General features: G+C 39.5%; 1 protein-coding gene, 1 non-coding gene and 2 pseudogenes across 14 annotated transcripts in view, besides 1 other annotated feature; 3 read left to right on the top strand and 1 right to left on the bottom strand.

Moving 5' to 3' along the window:
• SMYD3 (SET and MYND domain containing 3) overlaps positions 1 to 26,742 on the top strand; it is a 757,933-nt gene that overhangs the window by 304,586 nt on the left and 426,605 nt on the right. Inside the window, exon 2 of one of the 12 annotated variants that reach the window (XM_047428022.1) lies at positions 15,752 to 15,951. The exons of 10 other annotated variants lie outside the window; for them this stretch is intronic. The gene's annotated coding sequence lies outside the window, so the exon portion shown is untranslated. Of the gene's footprint in view, positions 1 to 15,751; positions 15,952 to 26,142; positions 26,230 to 26,742 lie in introns of those variants that run through there. One more of the 12 variants, XM_011544261.4, reaches the window with a different exon arrangement.
• On the top strand, positions 1,784 to 16,898 carry LOC124904573 (uncharacterized). Of its 2 annotated transcripts, none has more exons than XR_007066993.1 (2): positions 1,784 to 7,357; positions 15,752 to 16,898. It is a non-coding gene; the product is annotated as an uncharacterized LOC124904573 (transcript). The 2 variants fall into 2 exon arrangements; XR_007066999.1 differs by lacking the exon at positions 15,752 to 16,898 and adding an exon at positions 8,731 to 12,429.
• On the top strand, positions 13,576 to 13,680 carry RNU6-1283P (RNA, U6 small nuclear 1283, pseudogene; annotated as a pseudogene).
• Positions 20,291 to 20,446: a transcriptional cis regulatory region, noted in NCBI's record as "TAD4.SE2.HS10 sgRNA1-sgRNA3 range targeted for Mosaic-seq CRISPR perturbation". NCBI's record gives its function as "positively regulates SMYD3 gene expression in K562 erythroleukemia cells {active_cell/tissue: K562}" and the evidence as "EXISTENCE:mutant phenotype evidence [ECO:0000015][PMID:28416141]".
• Positions 23,490 to 23,916, bottom strand: CHCHD4P5 (coiled-coil-helix-coiled-coil-helix domain containing 4 pseudogene 5; annotated as a pseudogene).

Below are 26,742 nucleotides of genomic sequence, written 5' to 3'. Positions count from 1 at the left end.
TATTTTGTTAGCTAGCGTGATACCAGGAAGTCCTTGTTGTCAAGAACTGTTGTTTTCAAGGAGGAATTGCATTTCTGAGACTGTGCGTGGATTTAATACGTCACATTTCGATGATTTGAGGGAGATGGTGATGGGTTGGGGAACTGAGGAAAGGGAGAAGTCTCTGGAAAAGCCTCTGAGGAAAGGGGGAAGGAGTTGACTCGGTTCCAGCTGAATTCTTGCAGGCAGAGTCAAGGCCCAGCCTGGGGTTTGCAGTAGCAGGAGTCCTCTGACTTGGTTGGAAAAAGAACTTGGGCTAAGAGATTGGAAAGCTTCATAGGCCAATGATAGGGCGGTCAGATATGAAAAATGTAAAGGTGGTCATGTAGAAATGAGAAAGGATCAAATGTGTTCAAATTTATTTATGAGAAAAATGGATTTTTAAGGCAGTGTTTCAGGAACTACAGTACTAAATAAAAGGACTGATATGTATATGTCACTGTTTTTTTAAATTAAAAATATTTCAAATCATAAAAGTACATTATAGAAAATATCGTTAAGTAAAAGTATTAAATAAAAATCACCCATTAGCTCACCATCTAGAAATAATAATTATTATTTTGCAGTACATATTTCCAGTTTTTCTATGTATGTATCAGTATAAATCATTTAAAAATGGCTTTTTTTTGTTTTTTTTTTTTAAATTGAGACAGAGTCTCTGTTGCCCAGGCTGGAGTGCAATGGCATGATCTCAGCTCACTGCAACCTCCACCTCCCGGGTGCAAGCGATTCTCCTGCCTCAGCCTCCTGAGTAGCTGGGATTATAGGCATGAGCCACCACGCCCAGCTAATTTTTATACTTTTAGTAGAGACAGGGTTTCTCCAAGTTGCCCAGGCTGGTCTCAAACTCCTGACTTCAAGTGATCCACTTGCCTCGGCCTCCCAAAGTGTTGGGATTACTGGCGTGAGCCACCGCGCCTGGCCTGAAAATAGTTTTTAATAAACCCAGTGGACCTGTAGGTGATTGATGTGAACCGGATCATTATGCTTCCGTGACATTTCTTGGTTTGAAGTGTGGTAAGTTAGAGCAACTGAGATTTTCATAAACACTTCATTTCTGGGTTTCATCTGAACATTGTCATCCTCATTTTGCTGATACTTCCTCCTTTCCCAAGGTCAGCAGGCCGTGACAGCTGGTACTGCCATGTTTTTGATGGCCTAATTAAATATTTCATATAAAATGCATATTACCATCTGCTTAGGTTACAGATATAGTGACCCAAATAATAAACAAAATAGCATGCGTGTGCTTAAGCTGATCCAGAGAGATGAACACCCATTTTCTGCATGGTAGAAAAGTGCTGGGCTTGCGCTGGTTTAAAAAATGCTCCTGCTTTAACCCCCTATTAATAAGGTTGACTGCCATTAGGGATTAGCAATTTTTGTGGATGTGTCCATATTCTCATCTGGTATCTCTTATTACTGCTACCATATATAAGGACTGATAGACTTACTTAGAGGGGAATCTTGAGCTTGTAGGGATGAGCAGATTATTAATTTGTCTGTAAGAATTGTACTTGTCACGTTGGTATCACCATTTTCTGTCAATAGCCATGGAAACTTAGGTTTATATAAAAGCAAATAACATATTTTGATTGAATGAAAAAGATTTGCTGAATATGTTGTGAGAAAACCTTGTTAATATGGGGGCAAGAAATCCTCGTTGTCAAGAAACATTGTTTTCAAAGATGACTTGCATTTCTGAGACTTCATGGATTTAATGTTTCACATGATGCTTTGATAAGAAACTTTTTTTTTGGTTGGGAGGTAGAAGAGGTTAGAAAGACCTAGGTTTGATATCATGACTTTAGCTAAGTAACTTAAATTTGGTGAACTTCATTTTCGGCTCTAGAAAGATGGGGTTGATAATACCCACGTCAAAAGGTTGTTTGGAGAATCAAATCATATATATGAAAAGCAAAATGCCTACTGTAGTTCCTGGGGAATTGTTAGTTGTTCCCATCCCGTGCATCTTCTCTATTACAGTGGGCGTCTGTGTACATTCTTGCTCAGTGTCTACGCTGTTCTCCTCTATCTTCTCTATTATAGTGACGTCTGTGTACATTCTACCTCAGCGTCTACGCTGTTCTCCTCTATCTTCTCTATTACAGTGGGTGTCTGTGTACATTCTTTCTCAGCGTCTACACTATTCTCTATCTTCTCTATTACAGTGGGCGTCTGTGTACATTCTTGCTCAGCATCTACGCTGTTCTCCATCTTCTCTATCACAGTGGGCGTCTGTTTACATTCTTGCTCAGCGTCTGCGCTGTTCTCCATCCTCTGTATCACAGTGGACGTTTGTGTACATTCTTGCTCAGCGTCTACGCTGTTCTCCTCTATCTTCTCTATTACAGTGGGCGTCTGTGTACATTCTCGCTCAGCGTCTACACTGTTCTCTACTCTATTACAGTGGGCATCTGTGTACATTCTTGCTCAGCGTCTACACTGTTCTCCTCTGTCTTCTCTATCACAGTGGACATCTGTGTACATACTTGCTCAGCGTCTACACTGTTCTCTATCTTCTCTATTACAGTGGACGTCTGTGTACATTCTACCTCAGCGTCTATGCTGTTCTCCTCTACTCTATCACAGTGGGTGTTTGTGTACATTCTTGCTCAGAGTCTACACTGTTCTCTTCTATCTTCTCTATTACAGTGGGCGTCTGTGTACATTCTACCTCAGCGTCTACGCTGTTCTCCTCTATCTTCTCTATTACAGTGGACATCTGTGTACATTCTTGCTCAGAGTCTACACTGTTCTCTATCTTCTCTATTACAGTGGGCGTCTGTGTACATTCTTGTTCAGCATCTACGCTGTTCTCCATCTTCTCTGTTACAGTGGCTGTCTGTGTACATTCTCGCTCAGCATCTATGCTGTTCTCTTCTAGGAATAGCATCTCCGTGTTTACTTTGTTTAACTTCCACCTTGGATAAAGCCTTGGTGTCATTGTCAATCAAGATCTCCTGGTAAGCATCCACCCCACCAAGCCAGCGAATCAGGTGTGCTCTTCTGAATTTTGTACGTGACAAGATATTGGAAATGTGTCAAACGTTGTCCTGAAGGGAGGGAGTATCCAGTAATTTCTGTTTAGAGCCCTGTAACTGCTCTAAGCCCTCACAGTAAATACTTTTTTCAAAACAAAACAAAACTTAAAATAGCCTGGTTGGCTGTATACCAAAGTTCCCTGTTTGGTGCACTGAATTGGAAATAATTCCACAAGCAGATGCATTCATTTGTTTAATCCAAGAATTATTAAGTGATTTCCTTATTCTTTATATATCCAGTGTGAGGTGCTGAGTGCATTCATAGAAGAGAAATATCAGGTTCCCTGTCCCTGGGGTGTGCTCAGCTCAGTGACTTCACAGAGGGCACGTGATCTTAGAGTAGTAGCAGACGTGGAGCATAGCCTGAGGCACAATCCCAGACTGAATTTTGTATTAGGTATAGTGACAGTTAATCTAACTCTAAAAACATCAGTTATGGACATAAGGATGGGAACAGTAGGTACTGGGACTACTAGAGGGGGAAGAGGGGATGGGGGCAAGGGCTGAAAAACTACCCATTGGGTACTAGGCTCACCCCCTGGGTGATGGAGTCATTTCTACCCCAAGCCTCAGCGCCACACTACATACCCATGTATCGAGCCTGTGGATGTACCCCCGAATCTAAAATAGAAGTTGAAATTATAAGCAAAAATTTACATTAAAAAACCCTTTAATGCCCATTAGTTACTTATAATCTGTTTAAAGAATAGCCAGTTGCTCTCAGCCTTTTCATTTGTTTCATTAATTGCATCTGTTTATTTACTCAGTCTGGTCAAGAAAAATACCCTTAATCGTTTATATTAAAAAGTAGGTGCCACTATAAAATTCTAAGCTTTTGCTGAAAATCGTGACCTTTGATTGTTCATACTGGTAATTTATTTCTCATTTTTATGTTGCAATTACAACATTCAAAGCAGTAGACTAAGATCTAATGATTTAGAAGCACCAGAGGCATTGCTGGGCCAGGATGACAAGCCTTTAATGACTCTCTTAGGCAGTAAAAAAGCCACTGCAATTGCTGTATGAATATTCATTTAAGAAGCATTCATTGGTTGTAAATCTTTTAACATGTAGACTTTAAAAAAGATGAATAACATACTATGTACCCCGGTCATTCTTATTGAATGTGTCTTCAGATATTTTTTATCAAATTCATTTTACTGCTCTTTTTGCTTATGAAAATAAAATAGTATTTCATTAGTTGAGCTCATTTGAATATTAGAAATAAACAGAGTTCATATCATGTGAAATTGCTGACAGCTCTTAAAATCAGTCCTGCACTTTGCCCAGAGGCATTATTCACATTGCTGGTTACATCTGTTCTTGGGAAAGAGAACCTGCCTTGACTGTGAATGGGGGTCCAGTTTGCCCCAGGTTTAGTCCCTGTGATACTCAGCAAATGTTGCCTGGTTCTTTACTAAATATGGCTACCCTGTGATGAGAAGCTTTGGGCTGATTGGGCCTTATTTGTCTTCTTTTCTCTTACTGGGAAAGCAAAGACTGCTGAACATAACTGATGTCAGAATGGGCCCGTGTTAGCTATATACTGTGTACAGGTCAAGCACATAACTATTAATAGTAAAAATCAACTTAGACAGGGGAACGGGATTCAGATCCAGCAGTTTTATCCTAGCCCACACTCTTAACCACAATTACAATGGCAAACAAATAAATATTTTTAATTGTATGCAGTATGATTTAGTATTGGAAAGACTGTTTAAATTTTTTAAATAGACTTTAAATTTTAGAAAGTGTAGATATACAGCAAAATTGTGAATAGTACAGAGTGTTCCCCTATATATTCTGTACCCAGTTTTCCCTATTGACACCTTATATTAGTATGGTGCATTATTACAATTAATGAACCAATATTGATATACTGGTACTAACTAAAGTCCATACTTTATTCAGATTCCCTTGGATTTTACCCAGTGTCTGTACCAGTATGCCACACAGGATACCACGTTATTTTTGGTCCTTGTGTTGCTTTAGGCTTCTCTTGGTACAGTTTTTCATACTTTCTTTGTTTTTGATGATCCTTGACAGTTTGGAGGAATATTATTGGTCAGGTATTTTGTAGAACGTACCTTACGTGGAAAGAAGGTAATACCTGTCTGAATTTTTTTTCATGATTAGAGTGGAGTTACGGATTTTGGGGAGGAAGACCACAGAGATAAAGTGCCGTTTTCATTACATCCTACCTGGAATATGCTCTATTGACTTGACTTGTTGATTTTGACCTTGATCACCTAGCTGAGGTCGCGTTTGTCAGCCTTCGCCACTGCAGAGCTCCTCCTTTTCCCTTCCACACTGTCCTCGTCACAGGGACGTCACTAGGCACCACCCAGACCTAAGGAGAGGGGAGCCACGTTCCACCTCCTTGAAGGAGGAGTATTTAATATGTAAATTATTTGGAATTCCTCTGAACAGGAGATTTGTCTTTTATTTATATCAGTATGTATTCGTACACAATTTATTTTATATCTCTAGTTATAATCCAATACTACTTTATGTTCTTGCCCAAAATATTCTAACTTTTGGCCGCAGGGAACTTTTTCAGTTGATTTCTGTGTCCGTTTGACATATCCTCATCATTGCAGAGTTGTTTTTTTTTTTCTTTAGCACCTCCTCACTTTCTGGCACTACAAGATGCTTCAGGCTTATTTTTTATGTTTCCTGCTCATATCCTAGAAGCAGCCATTTCTTCAATGTGCCCTGTTTTCTTTTATTGGAGAATAGTTTTAGAAATTGGAGAATTTAGAAATTGGAGAATAGTTTTAGAAAACAAGATTGGGCACTATTTATGTTTATTGCTAATGAGTTTTCTTTGCTTCTAGGCCCTATGAAAGTTTTAACTTTTAAATTTTTTAAGCTGCTTGAGCTGCTATACTAAGCAACTATTTCTGTAAATGTTGGTGGCCAAAAGTGTTAAATAAATAGTTTAAAATTTGTTTTTCATTGGGGAAAGAATGTTGTATTGTAGTTACAGTTGAGAATTGCCAAAAATAAAATTTAAAAAGAACAATACTTAGAAGAACATTTCTAAAAACATTTCTTAGAATTGTATAATTGTCTCAGTCAACTTGCTTTTATTATTTTTCAAGATAATTTTTAATGATTTTATACAAAGCAGTGATTCCCTGGGTAATGATTGTGAAGATTTTGCCTTTTGTGCTTCTCTTTTACAGTGGATTTTTCATTTATTTAACTTGGATTAGAATTAGAAATGCAAATACGTCAGCAATTGAATTTACCCCTTGGAATCTTGCTTTTTGCTGGACATTTACTATCTGAATTACACAAAGGAAAAAAGACAAGGAGCAGTGTCTGTACCCAGGAGTTATTGTCTAGTAGTTAATAACAAGCACTGTACAAGCATTGATCAGTCAAAACAGGAAATTTAGAAACAACCAGGAGACCATATCAGATGTATTCTGGGCAAATATCACCCCTGCCCAGGCCTAAAGAACTGCCAAAAATCTTTAAAATATTGGCTTATAAATAATGTGAAGTAGAAAAAAAATTTAAACATGACATCTCAGTGATATTTCTGCAAAGGGAGGTTTTTTTTTAAATAAAGAAGTGACAGTAAAATTGATTTTCACTAGCTTTAAAGACAGTATCATCCTCTGTATCGTAAGATATTACTCTGAGAAACACCCCTTCATTCTTTCAGGTGAAAGGCAGCCTATTATCACAGGCAGCCAACCACTGCAACAGCTGGTATTGACAAAGGCTCTGACCCCTTTTGGTTAAAAATGAAGCAAAAATCTGAGTGTTCGTAGGGCTTCCTAACCTCCGGTTGAGCTATATGTAAGAACCCTTCACCCATTATAATAATCCAGGTATGCGATGTTGTATTACAGTGACCTGCAGGGTCATGACTTAGTGAGAGGCATTCTTTGTCAACACAGGGAAAGTTAACACAGAAGGTAAAATTTAGAAGAAAGGTGAATGGTTATAATATTCTTTCAGTGCGTGTGTGTGTGTGTGTGTGCGCGCGTGCACGCACATTTGTGTGTATATATTTGTATATTCCTTCAGCAACATGTCATATGGTCTAGGAATCCCTGGGCGATTTCTGGTTTTGGAGAATAGGATGTGAATGTACCTCTGAAACTGACAGAATGATGTATTACCTTGTAGGTCACTGGAGTAGAGTCCAGATGTGCTTAAGCATTTATGAAAAGTTACCTATTGTCACAGAGGCCCCGTACCACATGAGTCCTGTGAGACTTTAAAGGAAATCTAACCAAAATTGAACTCTATTTCAGGTATAGCATTTTCTGTGGTTTGATAATGACATTATACCTATTAAAATAATTTTTTGCCCTCATTATTAAAACCATTAGTTTATTTAGTGACTTCACAGTCACAAGTTTTTTATATTTCCTGGGCAAGCAAAACCTCAGTAGCATAAACTTAGTTTTGTCACTGCCCCGGGGATCCCACTTCATATGGGCCAATAAATTTCCAGGCAACTACAAGTATTATGTCATATGTGCAAAAATGTGATGTCTTTTTTGATCCAAACCTTTGCCAGACATTCAAGAGAGGTTAGGATGTAGTAAGTGTTTGTAAAAGACTGGAGCTCTCAGTAGGCCAAGTATAGCGTAGAAACTGGCAGTGGTGAAAACCTGGCTGCAGGTACAAGAGAACACACGTATATGGATTGTAGTTACAGCTTTAGTGTGAGCGAATTAATCTTCATTGTACGAGGGACCCAATGTAATTCTTCAGACGTTTTTGTGGAAAATCTTCGTGAAGGAGACTTAGATCATTGTTGTGCCGTAGAATTTCTCTGATAATGGAAATGTTCTCTCTTTGTTGTGCAATATGGCAATCAGTAGCCGTTTTCATGTATCAAACACTTGAAATGCGTTGAATGTGACTGAGGAATTGAATTTCAAATTTAATTTTAATGATGTTTTAAATTTAAATAGCTACATGTGGTTAGTGACTACCTTTTGGATAGCACAGCTCTAGATGGCTAGGTTTGGCATGTCTACTCGTGAGATAATGTCTGTGAAAAACTGTGGCATGCAGCCGGGTGCAGTGGCTGACGCCTGTAATCCCAGCACTTTCGGAGGCCTAAGCAGGCGGAACACGAGGTCGGGAGTTCGAGACCAGCCTGGCCGATATAGTGAAACCCTGTCTCTACTAAAGATACAAAAATTAGCCGGGCATGATGGCACATGCCCGTAGTCCCAGCTACTCGGGAGGCTGAGGCAGGAGAACCGCTTGAACCCAGGAGGTGGGAGGTTGTGGTGAGCTGAGATCGCACTACTGCACTCCAGCCTGGGTGACTGGGCGAGCCTCCATGTCAAAAAAAAAAAAACAAAAAAACCCCACAAGAACTGTAGTATATGAAGTGTTCAAAAAAATGTTTACTTTTCCCCTTAGGAAGTGTGTAGACCCCCTTGATACTTTTTTAAAACAACAACCCACAGGTTAATAAATCTTTTGTTTTAACTTTCCCAGTATAGTGCCATTGCTCATGTACCTCTTAAATTTCATGATGGTATGAGGAACCTTTAGAGCTGCAGTTATAGAGAAGTACATAAAAACAGCGTACCTCTCTTAATTGTGCGCCACCCCCAAATGAAAGAGAACATAATGACCAATTTGTATCCATTTTGTTCCCCAGCACTGGCTTGCGTGAACATGATTTAGAATGCTTTGCTGCTTTTGCCATTTTGGTGTACGTTTGAATAAAAGGGAAAGCTTGAAAGGGGACACAAAGGTAAGAAAGAAAAGAAGGCCTAGAATTAAAGAGGGAGAAAAAGAAGCGTGAGTACCCGGAGAGCTGCGAGGACGATAGCAGCCGTCTGCGGCTCGGAAGAACTGATTGTAGATCTACAGGAAGTGTGCTGTTGTGCTGCTGGCGGAGGCCGTCCCTGAGGAAGTAGGAGAAGACCACTAGGGCTGTGTCTAAGGTAACTGTAAGGCCTCTCCATCCTTTCTGCTGATTATGACTAGCAGCTAATTTGGATCTGATTTATACTGTGGGGAAGAAGCTTGGAGAGAAACGTGGGGTGCCAGTGTGATGGGGGTGGGTCAGTGAATGGCGGCTTGCTGTCTCTGTAGATCAGGCCACAAGGCCACTGCTGGGGCTGCCTCTTTTGTCGTAGGGACTTAGTCTAGAGTTTTATTGAAGGGTACGTAAAAGATCATACAAATAAACATATTCTGAAGAATACATTCATCAGTACAGTCTAATTTAAATCTCCAGATAGTTGGTAATTTTGCTTTTTATGGACAAGTCTTTTCATCGAACTATTTCTATTTCTATGTGATCTTGTTGTATTTTAAATGTTAATTTATTCTTCCAATCTCTTCTTCCTTACTTTCATCCCAGAATTTTTTCAGATCTGTATGTTTCTACCAATGTGGCTCTCAGGTTGTCCCTAATTTGTCAGAGGCTGTAGTACCATATTTTCTTAACTGGTAGTAAACAAGATATGACGATAAATGGGACCTAAGGATACTTCTAATGAGGAATACTTTTGTCTTCACATGTTTTATTGGGTTTAACTAGAATGTAGAATGAAAAACAATATGACTTCTCTGTTTTCTTAGCATATTTTGTTCTTAATTTGGCTGTACTTATTAGAACTCCTCCAAGATTTCCTATAATCATTACATTAAAAGCCTTCATTATCAATTGAAATGCATCTTTTGTAACTACATTTCTTTTTTTTTTTTGACTTTACCTTTTACCTTTTTAAAAGCAATGAATGCATTACTCTTGCCAAGAAAATGTAAAGATCCCAGGAGGACTTACTGTTCTCCTTTTTCCCTAGAGAGAGCTAATCTCAAGTTCACTCTTTTTTTATTAATAGTTGGATTGAGATACATTTAGTCTCATATTTACTCTTTAAAGAATATGTAATCATTACAATCATTACTAATTTTATTTCTTTTCCCTTAACCCTTTTAAAGTTATAAGGAAATAATACTGCATTTTAACATTGATAGGTACCGTAATTTTGGATTTTATTTTATTGTAGCATTTACATTAACTGCGAATCTTGGCTTTAAAAAAGCCACACATAGGTTAGGCACAGTGGCTCACGCCTGTAATTCCAGCACTTTGGGAGGCTGAGGTAGGAGGATCGCTTCGGCCCAGGAGTTCGACACCAGCCTGGGCAACACAGCAAGACTTCATCACTACAAAAGAAAAATTAAAAATGAGCCAGGTTATTTTGGAGCTTTAACATTTAACAACTGCCCTGCTGGGTTCCAAAGTTGCAGGAGTTCTGTAGCCCCTTTCTTTTTGCCAATTTCTTCAATTAAACCTCTTTTCTTATAAATTAAAAAAGTAAATAAGTAAATAAAATAAAAAATAGCTGAGCATGATGGCACATGCCTGTGGTTCCAGCTGCTTGGGAGGCTGAGGAAGGAGGATCGCTTGAGCTCAGGTATTCAAGGCTACAGTGAGCTATAATAATACCACTGCACTCCAGCCTGGGTGACAGAGTGACACCTTGTTTCAACAACAGCAACAAAAACAACAACAAAAGCCACACATAGCCTCTTCTGTATCCAACTTTTAAGTGAAAGTTCTTAAGATCTTCAATGTATGATTCTTAATTTTTTCCGTAATAACAACACTCCAGTGTTTTCAGATGTTTCAGATTGTATCTGTTTTTGTGCAGTGGTTCTCAAACTTCAAGGTGCATCAGAATAACCGATTGCTGAAGTTTCTCATTTATTAGGACTGGGTGGGACTCAACTGCATTTGAACAAGTTCCTGACTTACTGATGCTGTTGGTCCGTGGCCATACTTCAGGAATGACTGTGTTATCATATTTGATTCTTCGAGAATCCAGTGAGATCTTGGGCAGATACAGATAGGGAAAATGAAGCTTGAAGACATTTGTGATCTTTTTCCAGCGACACATCATGAATTAATGGTTGAACAGGTACCAGAACCCATGAAGACCTTTCTGGTTTTCTCCTGCTCATGGCAAGAGTTCAGTTCCCAAAAGACATCTCTCTGATTTCAAATATGTTTGATCTTTTTGTCTTATTCTTTTAAGAGCTATTCATGTGTTTGGATACACACCCCTAATATTCACATTTATTTATAATATATGCTTAAAATTTTCTTGTCTTTCAGTTACATGACTAATTTTTGTGCCTAGAGATGTTCTAAAAATGCAGTGTCTTTCTGAAGAAACAAAACCTTACATAACTTGTCAAGGCCACCCAAGGTTAATCATGAGGAAAAACGTTGAATTTTTTTACCCACCAGCCTAGTCTTCTGGCATTTTTTCACTCTAGCTTGCGGTGATGGTTCTAGGCAGGACCATTATTTGTGGGTCCACCAAACGAGGAATGATCCAAAACAAAGAATCTCAAAACCACATCACCAGACCCTCGCAGAAGGGCCCTGTACTGATTTCAAGGATACTTTTATATTTTGCTGCTTCCATGGAGAACTGATAGTTGGTCTTTAATTGGTACCAAAACATTGAAACTCCTGCGTGTAAGGCAGTGACATACAGAATGCACCGTGAGGTGCGTTTTCTCCGTCTTCCCCTCAGTTTCTCTCTGAACTACCTTAGGGTATTCAGTATGTGGAGCATGTGGACTAGTGTCTTGAACCCGGTGTCAGCCATCCATCAGGATTTACCTGTTGAATATTGCATGGTAAGCTTTGCTAGTATAGTGAGGAAGTGCTGTATGCTTTTCTGATACTGGCTTTTCTAGTTCCTACCTCTCATTTTCTCTTGCTTTCCTTCTTCTGTTCTACTTTGATGTTGGGGCCCCTGAAATACCTTAATCCAAAATAGAAGTCGGGAGGGAAAAAATGATAGCTGGAGAACAAGGTGAAAATCTTGACCTCGACTATCTTCTATTATTTAGTATAGTGTTGGCTTTTTGTGTGTGAGTTGGGGAGGGGGACAAAGAAAATCATGATTTTTAAAAAATTTAGTCTAATTGAGTAGTAATTTAAATCAGTGAGCTTTAGCGACTCCCCTACTTCCCATGCTTCCTTTTTTTTTTTTTTTTTTTTTTTTGAGACAGAGTCTTACTCTGTCACCTAGGTTGGAGTGCAATGGCACGATCTTGGCCCACTGCAACCTCTGCCTCCCGGGTTCAAGCGATTCTCCTGCCTCAGCCTCCCGAGTAGCTGGGACTACAGGTGCCTGCCACCACGCCTGGCTAATTTTTGTATTCTTAGTAGAGACGGGGTTTCACCATATTGGCCAGACTGGTCTCGAACTCCTGACCTTGTGATCCACCCTCCTTGGCCTCCCAGAGTGTTGGGATTACAGGCGTGAGCCACCGCGCCCGGCCTCCCATGCTTTCTAATGCTGAAATAAAACTCTTAAGTATACGCTACGGTCTGTGTGTGGTGCTTTATACGCACCATTTTACTTAATCCTTTGTTAAGCAGTATTATTTTGAGGAAACAGATTGAGAGCGATTATGTAACATGGCCAAGGTCTGACACTTAGTAAGTGATAAACTTGGGTCTTAAATACTAGTCTTTTGGACTTGGGCATTTAAGGACGACTAGCCTGTATTACCTTTCCTTTGAGATCCTTCCTCAGATAGGAGGTGAATTTAATAATCTGGATTTCTTGAAATAAATTAGACTCCACAAAAACAAATCCTGCCTTTAAAACTGATCTCCATATTTCCCCTTGTTTGTTACGGTGCCAGTTCTTTAAACATTTGCTTGAAAAGAGAAATGTACATGTTGCTTTTAGAGACACGTGTCTCCTAAGCACATACAAATGACAGTATTTTGCCGTTGCTGTGCCTGGGAGTTTTTATTTTAGTTATTTGGGCTTTAAAAGCAGCATATGATGGAGTTTCAATATGTCTTAAAACCACGGAGTGCTACCATGATACGTACATAAATAAACCGTAGGGGGTCTCTTTCTTTATTTTGCCCATGGAGATGTCTGATAGCTTTCAGAAAAAAGGCAGCCACCCTAAGTGACTAATGTCACCCATTTGTAGGGAAATAGTTGAGAATTTCTCCCAGAGTATATCCATTAAAAATCACTTCTTTAGCCTCTCCTGTGTCTTTAAAACCTTTTCATCTTTCCTATTTTGTCTTATATGTCCCTTCTTGTTATAGGAGTATGTATTTTAATAACAAATTTAATACAGTATTCAGTCTTAGAACCAGTTAATGTTAGCTGTATAGCAAAAACAAACATATATTCATCCAGTCAGTCATGCTCCAATATGGAATAACTGTTACCGACACTTGCGTTGTTCCCTTGCTTCCTGAGTAGCTTTGAGAAATATCATTCCTGTGAGTCTCAGCTTCCTTATGTCTAAAAAGCTGATGATAGCATCTCTTTAGATATTTGTAAGAGTTGGATGAAATAGTGTGCATTGTAGAAGAAAGCGCCTCTGTGTAGTGGGGTGGGAGGGAGGACATGGCAACAAGGTACCTTTCTCTTTAAGAAGTTAGAAGTTTGCCTTCTGGAAAACAGTTATAAAATCAAAACCCAATGGCTAGTTCGTGCTTCAGCAGCACATATACTAAAAAATTAGAATGAGACAGAGAAGATTAGTATGGCTCCTGTACAAGGGTGACATGCAAATTTGTGAAACACTTCATATTTTTAACATAAACACACACAATGGCTAATGAAACATACAGACCTTTTTTTTTTTTTTTGAGACAGGGTCTTGCTCTGTCACGCAGGCTGGAGTGCAGTGGTGCGATCTTGGCTCATTGCAGCTTTTGCCCTGCAGGCTCCAGTGATCCTCCTCACTAGCCTCCCGAGTAGCTGGGACCACAAATGTGCACCACCATGCCTGGCTCTTTTTTGTGTTTTTAGTAGCGATAGGGTCTCACCATGTTGCCCAGGCTGATCTCAAACTCCTGAGTTCAAGCAATCCACCCACTTTGGCCCCCCAAAGTGTTGGGATTACAGGCATGAGCCACCACGCCTGGCCCCAGACCTCTTAAAGAAGCATATTATGGGTAGGCCTATAATCGAGTTCTTAACATAGATATTAAAAAAAAAAATGTCAACCACAAATGTTAGTAACTTGTGCCACTTTTAAAAAGCAAACTTGTTCAGAGTTTCTGTTTGGGATGACAAAAATCTTTTGGAAATAGTGGTCATGGTTACACAACATTTTGAATTTAATGCCATTGAAGTGTACACTTAAAATGGTTAAAGTGAAAATTTTATGTTATATAAAAATATTTTTAAAAAAGTCAGTGAAGTGAATCTTTGCAGGGCTCCATTAGGCATTGTCTAGGCCAGAGAAAGCTAGAACTGGGGCCATACTGCACAGCTCCTGGGGCAAGGAGATCCTCTTTTCAGAGTCCAATCTGGACTCTGATCGCTCCTGTTCGCTGCTGTATTTCTAGCTCTAGGCCAGGACGTGCTGGATGAATGAACAGTCTGTTTGCTTCATGGTTTGTGCAACTCATTGCTCTTGCTGTAGTGCCAGACACGACAACATTCTGATAGTAGTTTGACTTCCTATGCAGGGAGAAAACATGAAGGTCAGAGGCTGAGTGTCCAGTCCTTTCACCCATTAGTTTTTTTATTGTAAATTAATAAATCGATATTTATTATACATTCTTAAAAATCCCAAAACAAGTTCGAGCTTTACAACTTGACACCAAGAGGTCTACTAGATACTTTTTATCAAGACGGCCCTCAGTGCACGTGAGGAATGTGAGCCACCAAGACCATTGATACGACAATGAAGAGAACTGTTCTTAGGGGGACTTCTTGTAATATTTCCGTCAACAAGTGCTCACATGAAACTAATGCTTCAAAATGGGTTTCTTGTACTTTGCATTGTCATTATCTCCAAGGAATGGGTTCCATTATTGTGGGGTTGTTTGCTTGTTTGTTTAATTCATAGTTTTCTATTCAAACAATGACTTGTTAATCATGTTTGTTTCAAAAAAGATGAATAAAAATTTACTGGTCTCTTTAGGGCTGCAGTCTTGCTTAGAAATGAACGGAATCTAGAAATATTTTAATTAAGAAATTTAAAAGTTTCAAAGCTTGTAGTTTTAAGATGTGCTTGTTTTTTCACAGTGGAGCTATTGAAAAATCCCTCAGCAGCTTGCTTTACCACTGTGTTTTCTGCAATGATCCTCTTGAGCATTTTAAAAGAAAAAAAATTGTGCCAAATTAGTTTTAAACATTATTCCTTGCTTTCTGTTCTCTTCATGTCTATGTCTTGTGTTTCTTTGCCTGAACACAGGACATAAGAACCTTATTGTTTTCTCAGAGTGCTTTTGGGTCCTTATTTGATATCTTTTCCACTCTTCATTCCTATTTGTTTCTCCTTTCTTTTCTTTTCTTTTTTTTTTTTTTGAGACAGAGTCTCACTCTGTTGCCTAGGCTGGAGTGCAGTGGCACGATCTCTGCTCAATGCAGGCTCTGCCTCCGGGTTCACACCATTCTCCTGCCTCAGCCTCCCGAGTAGCTGGGAATATAGGCGTGCGCCACCGCACCAAAGTGCTGGGATTACAGGCATGAGCCACCTTGTTTCTCCTTTCTTAAACGCAGATCTTTTGACTGGAGCTGTGGAACTGGGGTCAGAGTTGAGCTCCATCAGCACATCACCTCGTTATCTAGCACATCACACCTACTTTGTATGTTTGTGTAGCAGACCATTTCTTCTTTCGTGTTTCCTCATTTTACATTTCATCTCTTCAGTCACAGCGAAAAGTTGTTCCGTGAGACCTCTTGCATAATGACTCTAAGGGGCTTCAGAGACATTCTCCTGCGAGGTAACTGTGCCTGTGATGTGGGGAGAGTGTGAGACTGGGAAGCAGAAGACCGGAATGTGATACAGCCTTTCCCACGACTTGGCTGAGGAACTGCTGTTGTGAACCTTTTGCCCTGGTGGGATTATTGTAAGTATTCAGAGGGATCATTTTGAGAGAAGTGCTGTGGACATTGACAGTGCCAGACTCTCACAGGTCAAGTTTTCATTGTCTCTTAGTTTTGGGGCTGATATGAAATGAACTTGGGTCTTTTTCTGAGGGCTTTCAGAAAGTTAGCAATTAAACAAGAATTCTAAATTCTGTTTTTTGAATTCACCCACCGTGCTGTTCTCTGGTTTCAGAGTACTTGTGCATGGTAAGGGACTGTGAGGAAAGACTTTGAAATGATTAAAAAAAAAAGAGCATGTTTTGTCTACTCAACCATCAGGTCAGCTCTGCCTTTCACTGTCTTTGAGCTGTACTAGAATTGTGTGTGCTGCAGAAAATAGACAGTAAAGCGCCTGGTTCTTGTCCATAAAATGCAGTTGTGTTTGGAGAATGCAATAGATTATTTTCCTATGCATATTGACTAGTTTTGCACATTTTACATCTTGCTGGCATTTCTGATGCTTATGTATTTGTGTCTTCTTTGAATTCTTTTAAAAATCAGACTTAGCATCTTACTCATTTTCTAGTGAGTTAAATCTTTTATATGTGTTTTATTAATTTTGAGAATCATTATTTTGCTTTACAGAAAATTATTTCTTAACAATACAGTAAAAAACCACAATTCTGGGAATTAAGGGAACTATTTATGTTACTTTGAGCAAGGTACTGAGCTCTGGTTTTCCTCATTTAAAAAAAATGGTGAGATTTGACCGAGACAAACCTCTAGTCTGTGATTCTATGATTTTATGATTCTGTTATTCTACAATTTAATATTCTGTAAGCCCAAGGTCCACTGTCCTAAGTTTGTTAATATTTAGGTGAATTGGCATAGAATCAAGGAACTAAAGTATGTTATGTATGTAAAAATTGTGTAAGTTCTTTTTGGCATTTTTAGCATACGTGTGCACATAAATTACCATTGTACAAGATACTTTGGTGTTTGTAATTCTTGAAAAGGAATTACCAGCCAGGCACGGTGGCTCATGCCTGTAATCCCAGCACTTTGGGAGGCCGAGGCGGGTGATCACGAAATCAGGAGATCGAGACCATCCTGGCTAACATGGTGAAACCCCATGTCTACTAAACATACAAAAAATTAGCCGGGCGTGGTGGCGGGCGCCTGTAGTTTCAGCTACTCGTGAGGCTGAGGCAGGAGAATGGCTTGAACCCGGGAGGCGGAGCTTGCAGTGAGCCGAGATCGCGCCACTGCACTCCACACTCCAGCCTGGGCGACAGAGCAAAACTCCGTCTCAAAAAAAAAAAAAAAAAAAAAAAGAATCACTAACATGGCAAAACCCTGTCTCTACTAAAAGTACAAAAATTAGCCGGGCGTGTTGGCGGGCACCTGCAGTCCCAGCTACTCAGGAGAATGAGGCAGGAGAATCGCTTGAACCCGGGAGGCGGAGGTTGCAGTAGCCGAGATCGCGCCACTGCACTCCAGCCTGGGGGATAGAGCAAGACTCTGCCTCCAAAAAAAAGGAATTATATTACTTGAATTGCTATTGACAGTTTTCAGTAGTGAGTAAAGGAAGGGTGAGCATTCTCCAGGCAGCTTTTTAGATAAGAAGAAAAATTTATTTGCCTTTAAAAATTCTTGGCATATAACACCATTAGTGCTTATAGAAAATGATGGCTGTTATTGAAGTCTGTGACTTTTTAAAACCATTATTAAGTTCAAAAAGCATTTCTAAAACATCTAGCCTTACAGAGCATTGCATTAGGAAATGTAAGAAACAAATTGAAACTTTTATTCCTGCTGTTTGGGTAGTCACTATTAAGCATCAATGTGGTAGGTATGTCTGAGCCACCTCAGGGTACTGTAACAAAACTCCACAGACTGGGTGGCTTAAAAAACAGAAATTTATAATTCCTCACAGTTCTCAACACTAGAAGCCTAAGACAAGGTTCTGGCCCACTAGGTTTCTGGTGAGGTCTCTCTTCCTGGCTTGCAGATGGTGCCTCCTTGCTAAGTCCTCACATGGCCCTTCCTCATGCAAGCACACAGGGAGGAAGGGAGCAGGTCAATGAGCTCTCTGGTCTCTACCTGTGAGGACACTAATCCTATTGTGTCAGGTCCCCACCTGTATGACCTCATTTAACCTTAATTACTGTCTGAGAAGCCCCTTCTCCAAATAGAATCAGAGGGTTAGGGCTGCAACGTAAGAATTTTGGGAGGACACAAACATTTAGTCCATAATCTGTGATATTGTTAGAAGCAAGAAGTCACACATCTGAGGTACAGATTGAGGATGGCAAGAAGTAGTCTCCCCAGAGGAGGCCTGGTCATTGTTGAAGACAGCCAAGAGTTGGTGAGTTTGATGCCAATCTGGGTGCTTCTATAATTAGAAGATACTAATTATACTGACCCATTCCTATTTATCTGTTCTAATTTTTCAGTGGTTACAAGGTTTTCCCAATAGGAAAAAAGGGCAATATACTTGCTTTTCTTTCTTTTTGGATTTTAAGCCTGAGACCTCTTTGGGTCATGATATATATATTTAGATTCTTTCAGCATGTGTAACAATATCCCAGAAAGGACTAGTGTTTTATATTCTTTTAACTCCTGGTTTTTCTACCTACTGCCTTTACTGCTTTGGTGCTCATGGGAATACTGCCACTTAGGGAAAAATACAACCTGATCTTTTGTGGATCTTGGAGTGGCTTACTTGGTTTAAAATAATCTGGGACGTGGATAGGTGGAGTTATTTCAAGCCCTTCGGCTTTACTTCCATGCCTAATGTCTTTTCTCATCATTTATTAAAGCGCTTTGACTTTGATATGTATCCTGTTACCACCTTGTAAATCCTTTTAGTAATACCTTTCTATGATGAAGGTGTAAACACTGCTGTTTCTACCGCATTTACTTCTCCCTCCGTGTCATTTTTATAGGACTTTAAACCTGCTAATGTTCCAGGTTATTAATTTAAAACAGCCAGCCAAATAGTAGAAGCTTCTTTCTCATCTGTAATGTCCTGACCTCATTTTACCTGTTTCCTTTTCAAATTCAGTTTGGAAATCTCAATTTTCATAATCTTTTGAGCTACTACTTCACTTCCCTGATATTTGCAATTTAGCAGCCTTATTATTTTCAAGACTTTATATCAGGACCACACATGAAATAATTACTTTTTTTTTTTGGTGCTGGACATACTCCCCTAGCTAGTCAGGATTTTTATTTATCTTTCTTTATCTTGTAGGAAATGGAATTCTTATTTGCATTTTCCCTGATTTCTCACCTTGCTTCTTCTTAACCTTGTTCTGACAGTATTTAAGTGATGTAGCTTGGACATTGTTTGCTTTTTTATCTCTTATGCCAACCTTCTTGTATTTAGCTACATGCTTAGAGCTGCCCAATTAAATGGCATCCAGTAAACTGTATTAGGGTTTGTGCTTGAAAATGCTTTGAAGACGCAGTTGATGTTTTCTTTGTAGTTTCTCGTTATTCCTCAAGTTTGTAAGTTAGTCTAATTGAAAAGTATTGTCTGGAAAACTGCCTCGTTTACATGCAGATTTCATTGATTGCCCTGGGCTTGTACAGACTTCGCAATACTTTTGTTGATGGAGTTTCTCTTATGTGAAACACTTTAGCTACCTGTCCTTGGTTCTGGACTCTAGCTTTCCAAAAGCAACATGGAGAATTTAAAGGGGCCTTAGATAAAAGCCAAAAATAGACTTAGAAGATAAAGTTAAAGGGGTTACAATTATTTAATCTGCTAAAAATAAGGGTGTGGAGAAATTTAGCAATGTGCTAACTGTGTCTTCTCTATGTTAAGTATGCTCATTTGTACTTAGGGGCTCAGTTAGTGTCTTCTCAGCCGGGTCTGGAAAACCTGGTATTGTGATTTTGCTTCAGTATCATCATTAGGAAGGATTTAGGTTTGAGCAATGGAAGTGATGTTGAACATAGGAATGAGTGTCTGGGGAGGAGAGGCATTGTGGAAATGGCCTCCTGAGTCTTACTTCCTGGATAAGATGGATTATGGGTAAAGGTGTCTTCCAGATACAGGATTCTAATCTGATTGCTGTCATCAGTTTTATTTTTCTAATTGTGACTCAAAGTGCTTTATATGGTGGAAGAACAACAAAGTGCACCTAACTGTTTCAGAAATGGATCTCTTGGATAAGGCTGGTGAACAGGTCCAGGTAGACTGTTGTGTGGGGTACTGGAAAGAGTACTGTACTGGGAGTCATATATCTAGGTGAGGACCCAGCTTTGCATGAAAGTGGCTACCTGACCCTGAGCCTGTGACGTTATCACTTCAGTCTCCAGTTGTCCTTTTTACTGTGTGGGAGATTGGTTAGAATAATTCTTAGGTCCCCTTTGGATCAGTTCTATGTGTGACAGTGGGAGTGAGGTCATAACTATCAGGGAGGAAGAGGTGATAGAGAAGTCGAGAGATGGGAAGATTAAGTGGAGTGAAGGCTGAGGTAATAGGAGAAAGGGGAAGGAAGGGAGATGGCGAGGAGGGGTTTTCAGTGGGGAACTGATAAGAGTGTTTGTGGCCACCAGGGATGGAGTTTTACAAGTTTTAAAAGTTGATCTCTTTCTCTCTCTCTTTAATGTGCTGGATTTCAGTTACGATGAGAACAACAGTGGTGAGGTTTTACTTGGTCTCTCTTTTTAAAAATTAGATTAATTTGGCAGAATTTAAGACTGTTAACTCAATTTTCTCTTTCTGTTCCTTATATAAGTAGGTTAAAATAGTGCTCTTTCTTTGAAGATTTCAAATAATTCTTTTTATTATTACAAATGCCCCCTGTGAAATAAGCAAAGGTAATTATCTCTACGTGATCATTGGGGAAATGTAGGTACAATGTAATTAAACAATTTATTTGGGAATTTAGTATGCTAGTGTTAGAATTCATTTTTCAAATCTCTCTACCTGGCTTCTCTGCTTTAAGTTGTGTCTATGTATCTGGAGGATATGTTAGCCCACTGGTGCTTGGCACACGGGTTGTAGAAGTACTAATATATCTCAGAGATGGACATCCTTCATCCTCTTGAACGCATCTTAAGGACTAGATCCCAAAGGGGACCCCTATGTGTCTGTTTCATAATTCAGTAACTGAATTTATTTCTTATAAATAAAACCATACAAGTTAAGAAAAATCACATACCTATGGGGTATTCTGACATTTCCTGTGTTTTTGTGTAGAGGAGATCTTTGGTTGCATGAAGTGTGAATCATGAAATGATAGAATTTATAGTATTTTCTTTGAATTTCCTGAGTCCTCTAGATGTCAGACAGGATGTCAGATGTACTGCCATTACTGAATAGTCTCAGCTGTGGGGAGTGGCAGGGATGTCAGCTGACAGCCTGAAATGCTTTGCATTAGTTTTGTAAGTACACAGATTCCTTACATCACAGCTGAGTATAATGTCAAGGATGCCTCCTACTTCCACTAGAGCTGAGACTAGTGTATCTGTTTGAAGGTTGGATGGAGGAAGAGTACAGGAAAACCTTTGTCCTTCAGTGCAATCATTTGTATTAGAAATTTGTAAAATATACTCTAGGCGAGACATTGATTTGCCTTGCTCTCTTGAGACACTGCTTTGCATGGCCATTTCTCTCAGTGGAATGAAACCTCTGTTCACAAGAGCACTTGTTTCCACATCCCAGAGGCGCATGGTTCCTACCACTTCTCAAGGATGGGAATGCATGTGGAGAGATGAATGATAGTAATTTTCATAGTTAAATGATCACTTTATCTGTAGGAAACAAATAGAACCCCTATGATGGACATATTAGAGTAGAGTATGTTCCTCCCTGATATTTTGTTGCTTTTAAAGCACGTCACATCTCTTTATGGCTCCTTACGCCTCTTTCTCTGTTTCTGTCAGTTCTGGGGAGTGTTTCTAAAGGGAGGAATCTCTTGCTGGAAACTAGGTATAGTGATTACCCATTCTCTTCTGCCCTCCTGAGTTGTTTTTTTTTTTTTTTTTTTTTTTTTTTTTTTTTTTTTTGAGACAGAGTCTTGCTCTGTTGCCCAGGCTTGGAGTGTGGTGGTGCGATCTCAGCTCACTGCAAGCACTGCCTCCCAGGTTCAAGCTGTTCTCCTGCGTTAGCCTCTCAAGTAGCTGGGACTACAGGCATCCACCACCACTCCCAGCTAACTTTTTTTGTATTTTTAGTAGAGATGGAGTTTCACCATGTTAACCAGGATGGTCTTGATCTCCTGACTTCATGATCCACCTGCCTCGGCCTCCTAAAGTGCTGGGATTACAGGCATGAACCACCACACCCGGCCTAACCCTCCTGAGTTTTAAAATCAGGTGGCAAACATTTGCATCAGTCTCCAAAATCAAATCTTCATGACCTTGAGTGGAAGGTATAAGATAGAATAGGTAGTTTATATATATACTTATATATATATAAGTAGTTTATATATATACTTATATATATAAGTAGTTTATATATATACTTATATATATATAAGTAGTTTATATATACACATATATATAGAGAGAGATTATGTTTTCTAATATACATATATGTATATATATTTTCTAATATATGTGTATATATATTTTTCTACTATATGTAGATATATATTTTCTAATATATCTATATTAGATATATTAGATATGGGATCTTGCTATATTGCCCAGGGTGGTCTTGAACTCTGTGGCTCAAGTGATCCTCCTGCCTTGACCTCCCAAAGTGCTGGGGTTATTGGCATGAGCCACCACACCTGGTCTCATGTTTCCTTTTAACTGAGTACTTAATTCACACCTTTTCCTCTTTTGGCTGCTACTCTGATAACAAGTAGGTCCCCACCTTTGAAGAACATTGCATCTGACCAGACTGAGAGCCAGGGTGAACATGGGCCCCAGACCAGAGCTTTTGGAATAACAAGGAACAGCAAAAACCAATCTTCCCCTTCACTTAGAAAGAGACTGTGGATGGAGGGTCCAAATCTCCGCTATCAACACATAGAAAGCCTGGAGCTCAATGCCAACATGGAAACCAAAATTTATCAGGAATGAAATGTAGTATCCCTTCATATACTCAAGGTTAAGATGGGTTTTGAGAAATATATATCTGACCATCTGGCTTCTTCTAGGAGAAGTGGCCTCACTCCAGCACTTTTAAAAGATGTTTTTCTTGCTATTACATTTCCCAAAGGGGGATTAAATCTACTAAAAGGGATCTAGTGAATCCGAATAAATCAGCTGTCTCATAAGAAACATTCCTGGATGATGATTTCTGGTTGCTGAGATTATTCAGCACATTATTTCAGAGTGGCAAAATTGAGGGCAATCTGAGAAAATAGAATTCAGTGGTGGCAATATTTGCTGACAGATTTATATGTAGGACACACATACAACCCCCATTTTTTCAGTCTGTATGTCAAGAGATCAGGACCCCTCATCACCAAAATAAATTATTTTGTGCATTACAGTGAAGAGGACAACAGAGGGAAAGACGCTTTCTTGGAGGGCAATTGAAAGGCCTTTTGCGAAGGTCCATATCACTCTGAAGTGGAAGGACTGGAGCCCAGTGCCATGTGGCTTTCGTTAGCTTGACTGCTCCTCTTCTTTGGGTGCAGTGACCTCACTGGAAGCTGTTTCTTCCACTTGTTCTGCTGGCTACTTCTCCTCCTCCTCCTCTTCCTCTTCCTGTTGGGGTTAGAGGTTTGAGTATTTCTGTATACATTCTTGCATGGCCTTGAACTTGTTTATATAATCTGAGCCCTTGAATCCTCCATCCTACAATGGAAGCAGGAAAAGTTTGACTTAAACTGTTCCCTACAGGGGCCTCTGGCCATTCCCCTAAGGCCTGGGTAGTTTCAGTTAATGTGTTCATTTGGCAGTATCAATCCGTGCTCCTCATAGGGATCGCTGCAGTCATCAGCCACCTGCTCTGCATTGATTGGAGTCTAATGGGTTTTTTTTTTTGGTCACAAATATGATTCAGTCTTTCCCTTCTGGCTAGCGTAGAACATGGCTACAGGCTGGCACTTAGACCTCACAGAAGAAGCAGTGGCAGCTCAGTTTAATTAAAGACAAAGAAATTTCTGTTGATTGAAACTCGCTCACTTTGGGGACCTTCAAATTAAGAAAAAAGGTCTGCTTGCTGAGGAGGCCGTAATGAGAGAGATGGAGTGGGTGTGCCTGTTTTTATGCTGTAGCCATGCATGCACTTGTCCATTCATTCATTTGCTTGTTTCAGTAAATATTGATCGAGCAGGTATGATGTGGCAAGCGTGAAAATACTTCCACAAAGCAAGTAACTCGAGTGGAGCCTCTCCCACTTCAGTGGTGTTTTTGGCTTATACTCTGTCTACGGCATTTCTCAACTGTATGTAAATGACTCCCGGTCTAGGAGATTTAAAATGGTGTTGTGTGGTATTGTTCCTTGGTTCATTCAAGTTCAGTCTTTAATCTTTTCAGAGTAGCTCCAACCATCTTTTGGGGCTTTACCTTCCTCTTGAATCATCAAATTCTTGAAGGTGATGGGTGCCACCTGCTTGATTCCAGAAGGACCGTCTCTGATCCCTGGCATTGTTCATTCAGGTGACTGGCAATTGAACATCCATCCCAGATTTACAGTTGCGATCCTATGGGAAAGCTCCCTCCTCCTGCCATTTCACCTTTGGAACTGTTGCTACACTCTGGAAGATTTTCCAGTAACTACATCTAATTAGAAGGGTGAATAAATTACCAAAGCAAGTTAAATTACCTTGTGTGTCATAACAATAATTAACATTCAAATAGGAAACCACTGCCATTTTTATAAACATCACTAAATGGAGGCAGCACCCTTTTTGAAAGCAGGAACCAAGAGAGTAGCACCTCCCTAAGCCTGCTGTAAGGATGGCCTGGGGGAGTTGCTAGGCGAAATGTTGAGAACATCCGTCTGGTTGAGATTGATGTCATTGGAGAAATTCTTTAATTGCTCTACTTAATATCTGAATCCTTCGAAGTAGCAACTTTTCTATGTACTAATCATTATCCACTCTGTCCTCATAGCTCTATGTGTTTTGCTTATGTCTTCCATCTTTCGAGAAGGAATGGAAATTGATCTGGTCACAAGACATTTTTGGACTAGGCTTTACTTAGAAAGCAGGTCACAGCCTTTTTAGACCCCACCTTTCAACAGTTCCACTCCTTCCTTGCTCATTTAATATACCTACCTTTGTTCTTTTTTGCTGTTCTTCTTAAACATTTTCTGTCCTGAAAATGTTTATTCTTCTCCATGATGCTACTTCGGTGTGGTCTCTTGATTTTATGTTTGTGCTTTTTTGCTTTTCTATAGAGTGGGATTATCAATTGCTTTTATTTATTCAGTAGGCTGCCATGTCTAGAATTTATTTAGACAATTGAAGGGGTAACTTGGTGCAACTCTGGCTTAAATAATAATGAGTTGTTAAAGGTTTTTGTTTTGTCCTCCTTTTAAACTTATAAACTCTTAAATGATGTTTGGATTGTAAGTGATGGCATGTAATTTAAGAAGACAGCATTGAAGTTGTAAATTTGCTCATAATTGAGAGATTGTCCCTAACATACTCCTACATGTTTCTACTGAAGAGAACAGTATATTAGCAGAGTGTAGTAAGGTTTAAATCACCTGATTTCTTAATATTATGAATAGGTGGCTCTTGTGTTTTGAAAAGATTTAACCAAGCCATAAATAAAATCATAGATCTTTATACCCTCAGGCCAAATATAAATCACAGTGGTTCCTGTAATATCCAAACAGCAGGCCTAAAAACAATTTAAAGTTTCTTTTCCTTTTCCTTTGTGTTTCACCAATTTGGGTTAAAGTCTATAGTTTGGGGATTCAGACATTATGTTTGTATGTTATACGTGCATTCTTTTAGTTCAAGAGTGGCTAGCCTCATGAGCCGTCTAAGGGGAAGAGCCAATATTACCAGTGCCATTAACAAACGGCCAGTATAGGCTGGTGTGGTGGCTCACATCTGTAATCCCAACACTTTGGGAGGCCGAGGTGAGCAGGTTGCTTGAGCTCAGGAGTTTCAGACCAGCCTGGACAACATGGCAAAACCCTGTCTCTGCAAAAAATACAGTAATTTGCCAGGCATGTTGGCACGCACCTGTGGGCCCAGCTACTCAGGAGGCTGTGGTAGGAGAGTTGCCTGAGCCCGGGAGGTCAAGGCTGCAGTGAGCTGTGATCTTGCGCCACTGCATTCCAGTCTGGGCCACAGCAAGACCTTGTCTCAAAACAAACAAAAGCCTATATAAGCATTAATCTCATTGCTTCGAATATGTTTTCGTGTTGCTGAGGGTCAGACCATGTAAGTGTTTTCCAATGTTTTAAAGAGTCAAATGTTACTTTTTTGTTACGGTATCAATTCAGTTCAAAATAATGTTTTGTTTTTTAATGTTTATCTCTTTCTGCCAAGGGCTCTGAAGAGCTAAATATAGTCCTTCTTAAGAGCCGGACAGTGGTGAATGGATGTAGGAATGGCCTGGATCCACTGGTACTTATGGGTGTAGTTGAGGAAGGCTAATTTTGTCAGCTGACCTGATTTTGGGACTCCACAGTTTGTTTCTGAGACTAAGTAGCAGATAAAAAAGAATTATTATTTTGTGGTTACTGGTGAGGGGGTTTGGGTTGAGGCCTGGAGGACTCAATGGAAAGGAGAGTACTGGAACGAAATAAAAAATTATCTTAGTGATTTTGTGTAACATTAGCTTAGAGTAAAACACTTGGTTTCCATTATCTTTCTGCTTTTGAATAAATATCTCTTCTAAAAGGACCATGGAAGATGTGGTAACTTGAGTCAGTACAAATTGCTTTTCATAGA

Source organism: Homo sapiens, chromosome 1 (assembly GCF_000001405.40).
Source record: "Homo sapiens chromosome 1, GRCh38.p14 Primary Assembly".
Lineage (NCBI taxonomy): Eukaryota > Metazoa > Chordata > Mammalia > Primates > Hominidae > Homo > Homo sapiens.
This window is presented reverse-complemented; position numbering and strand designations above follow the sequence as displayed.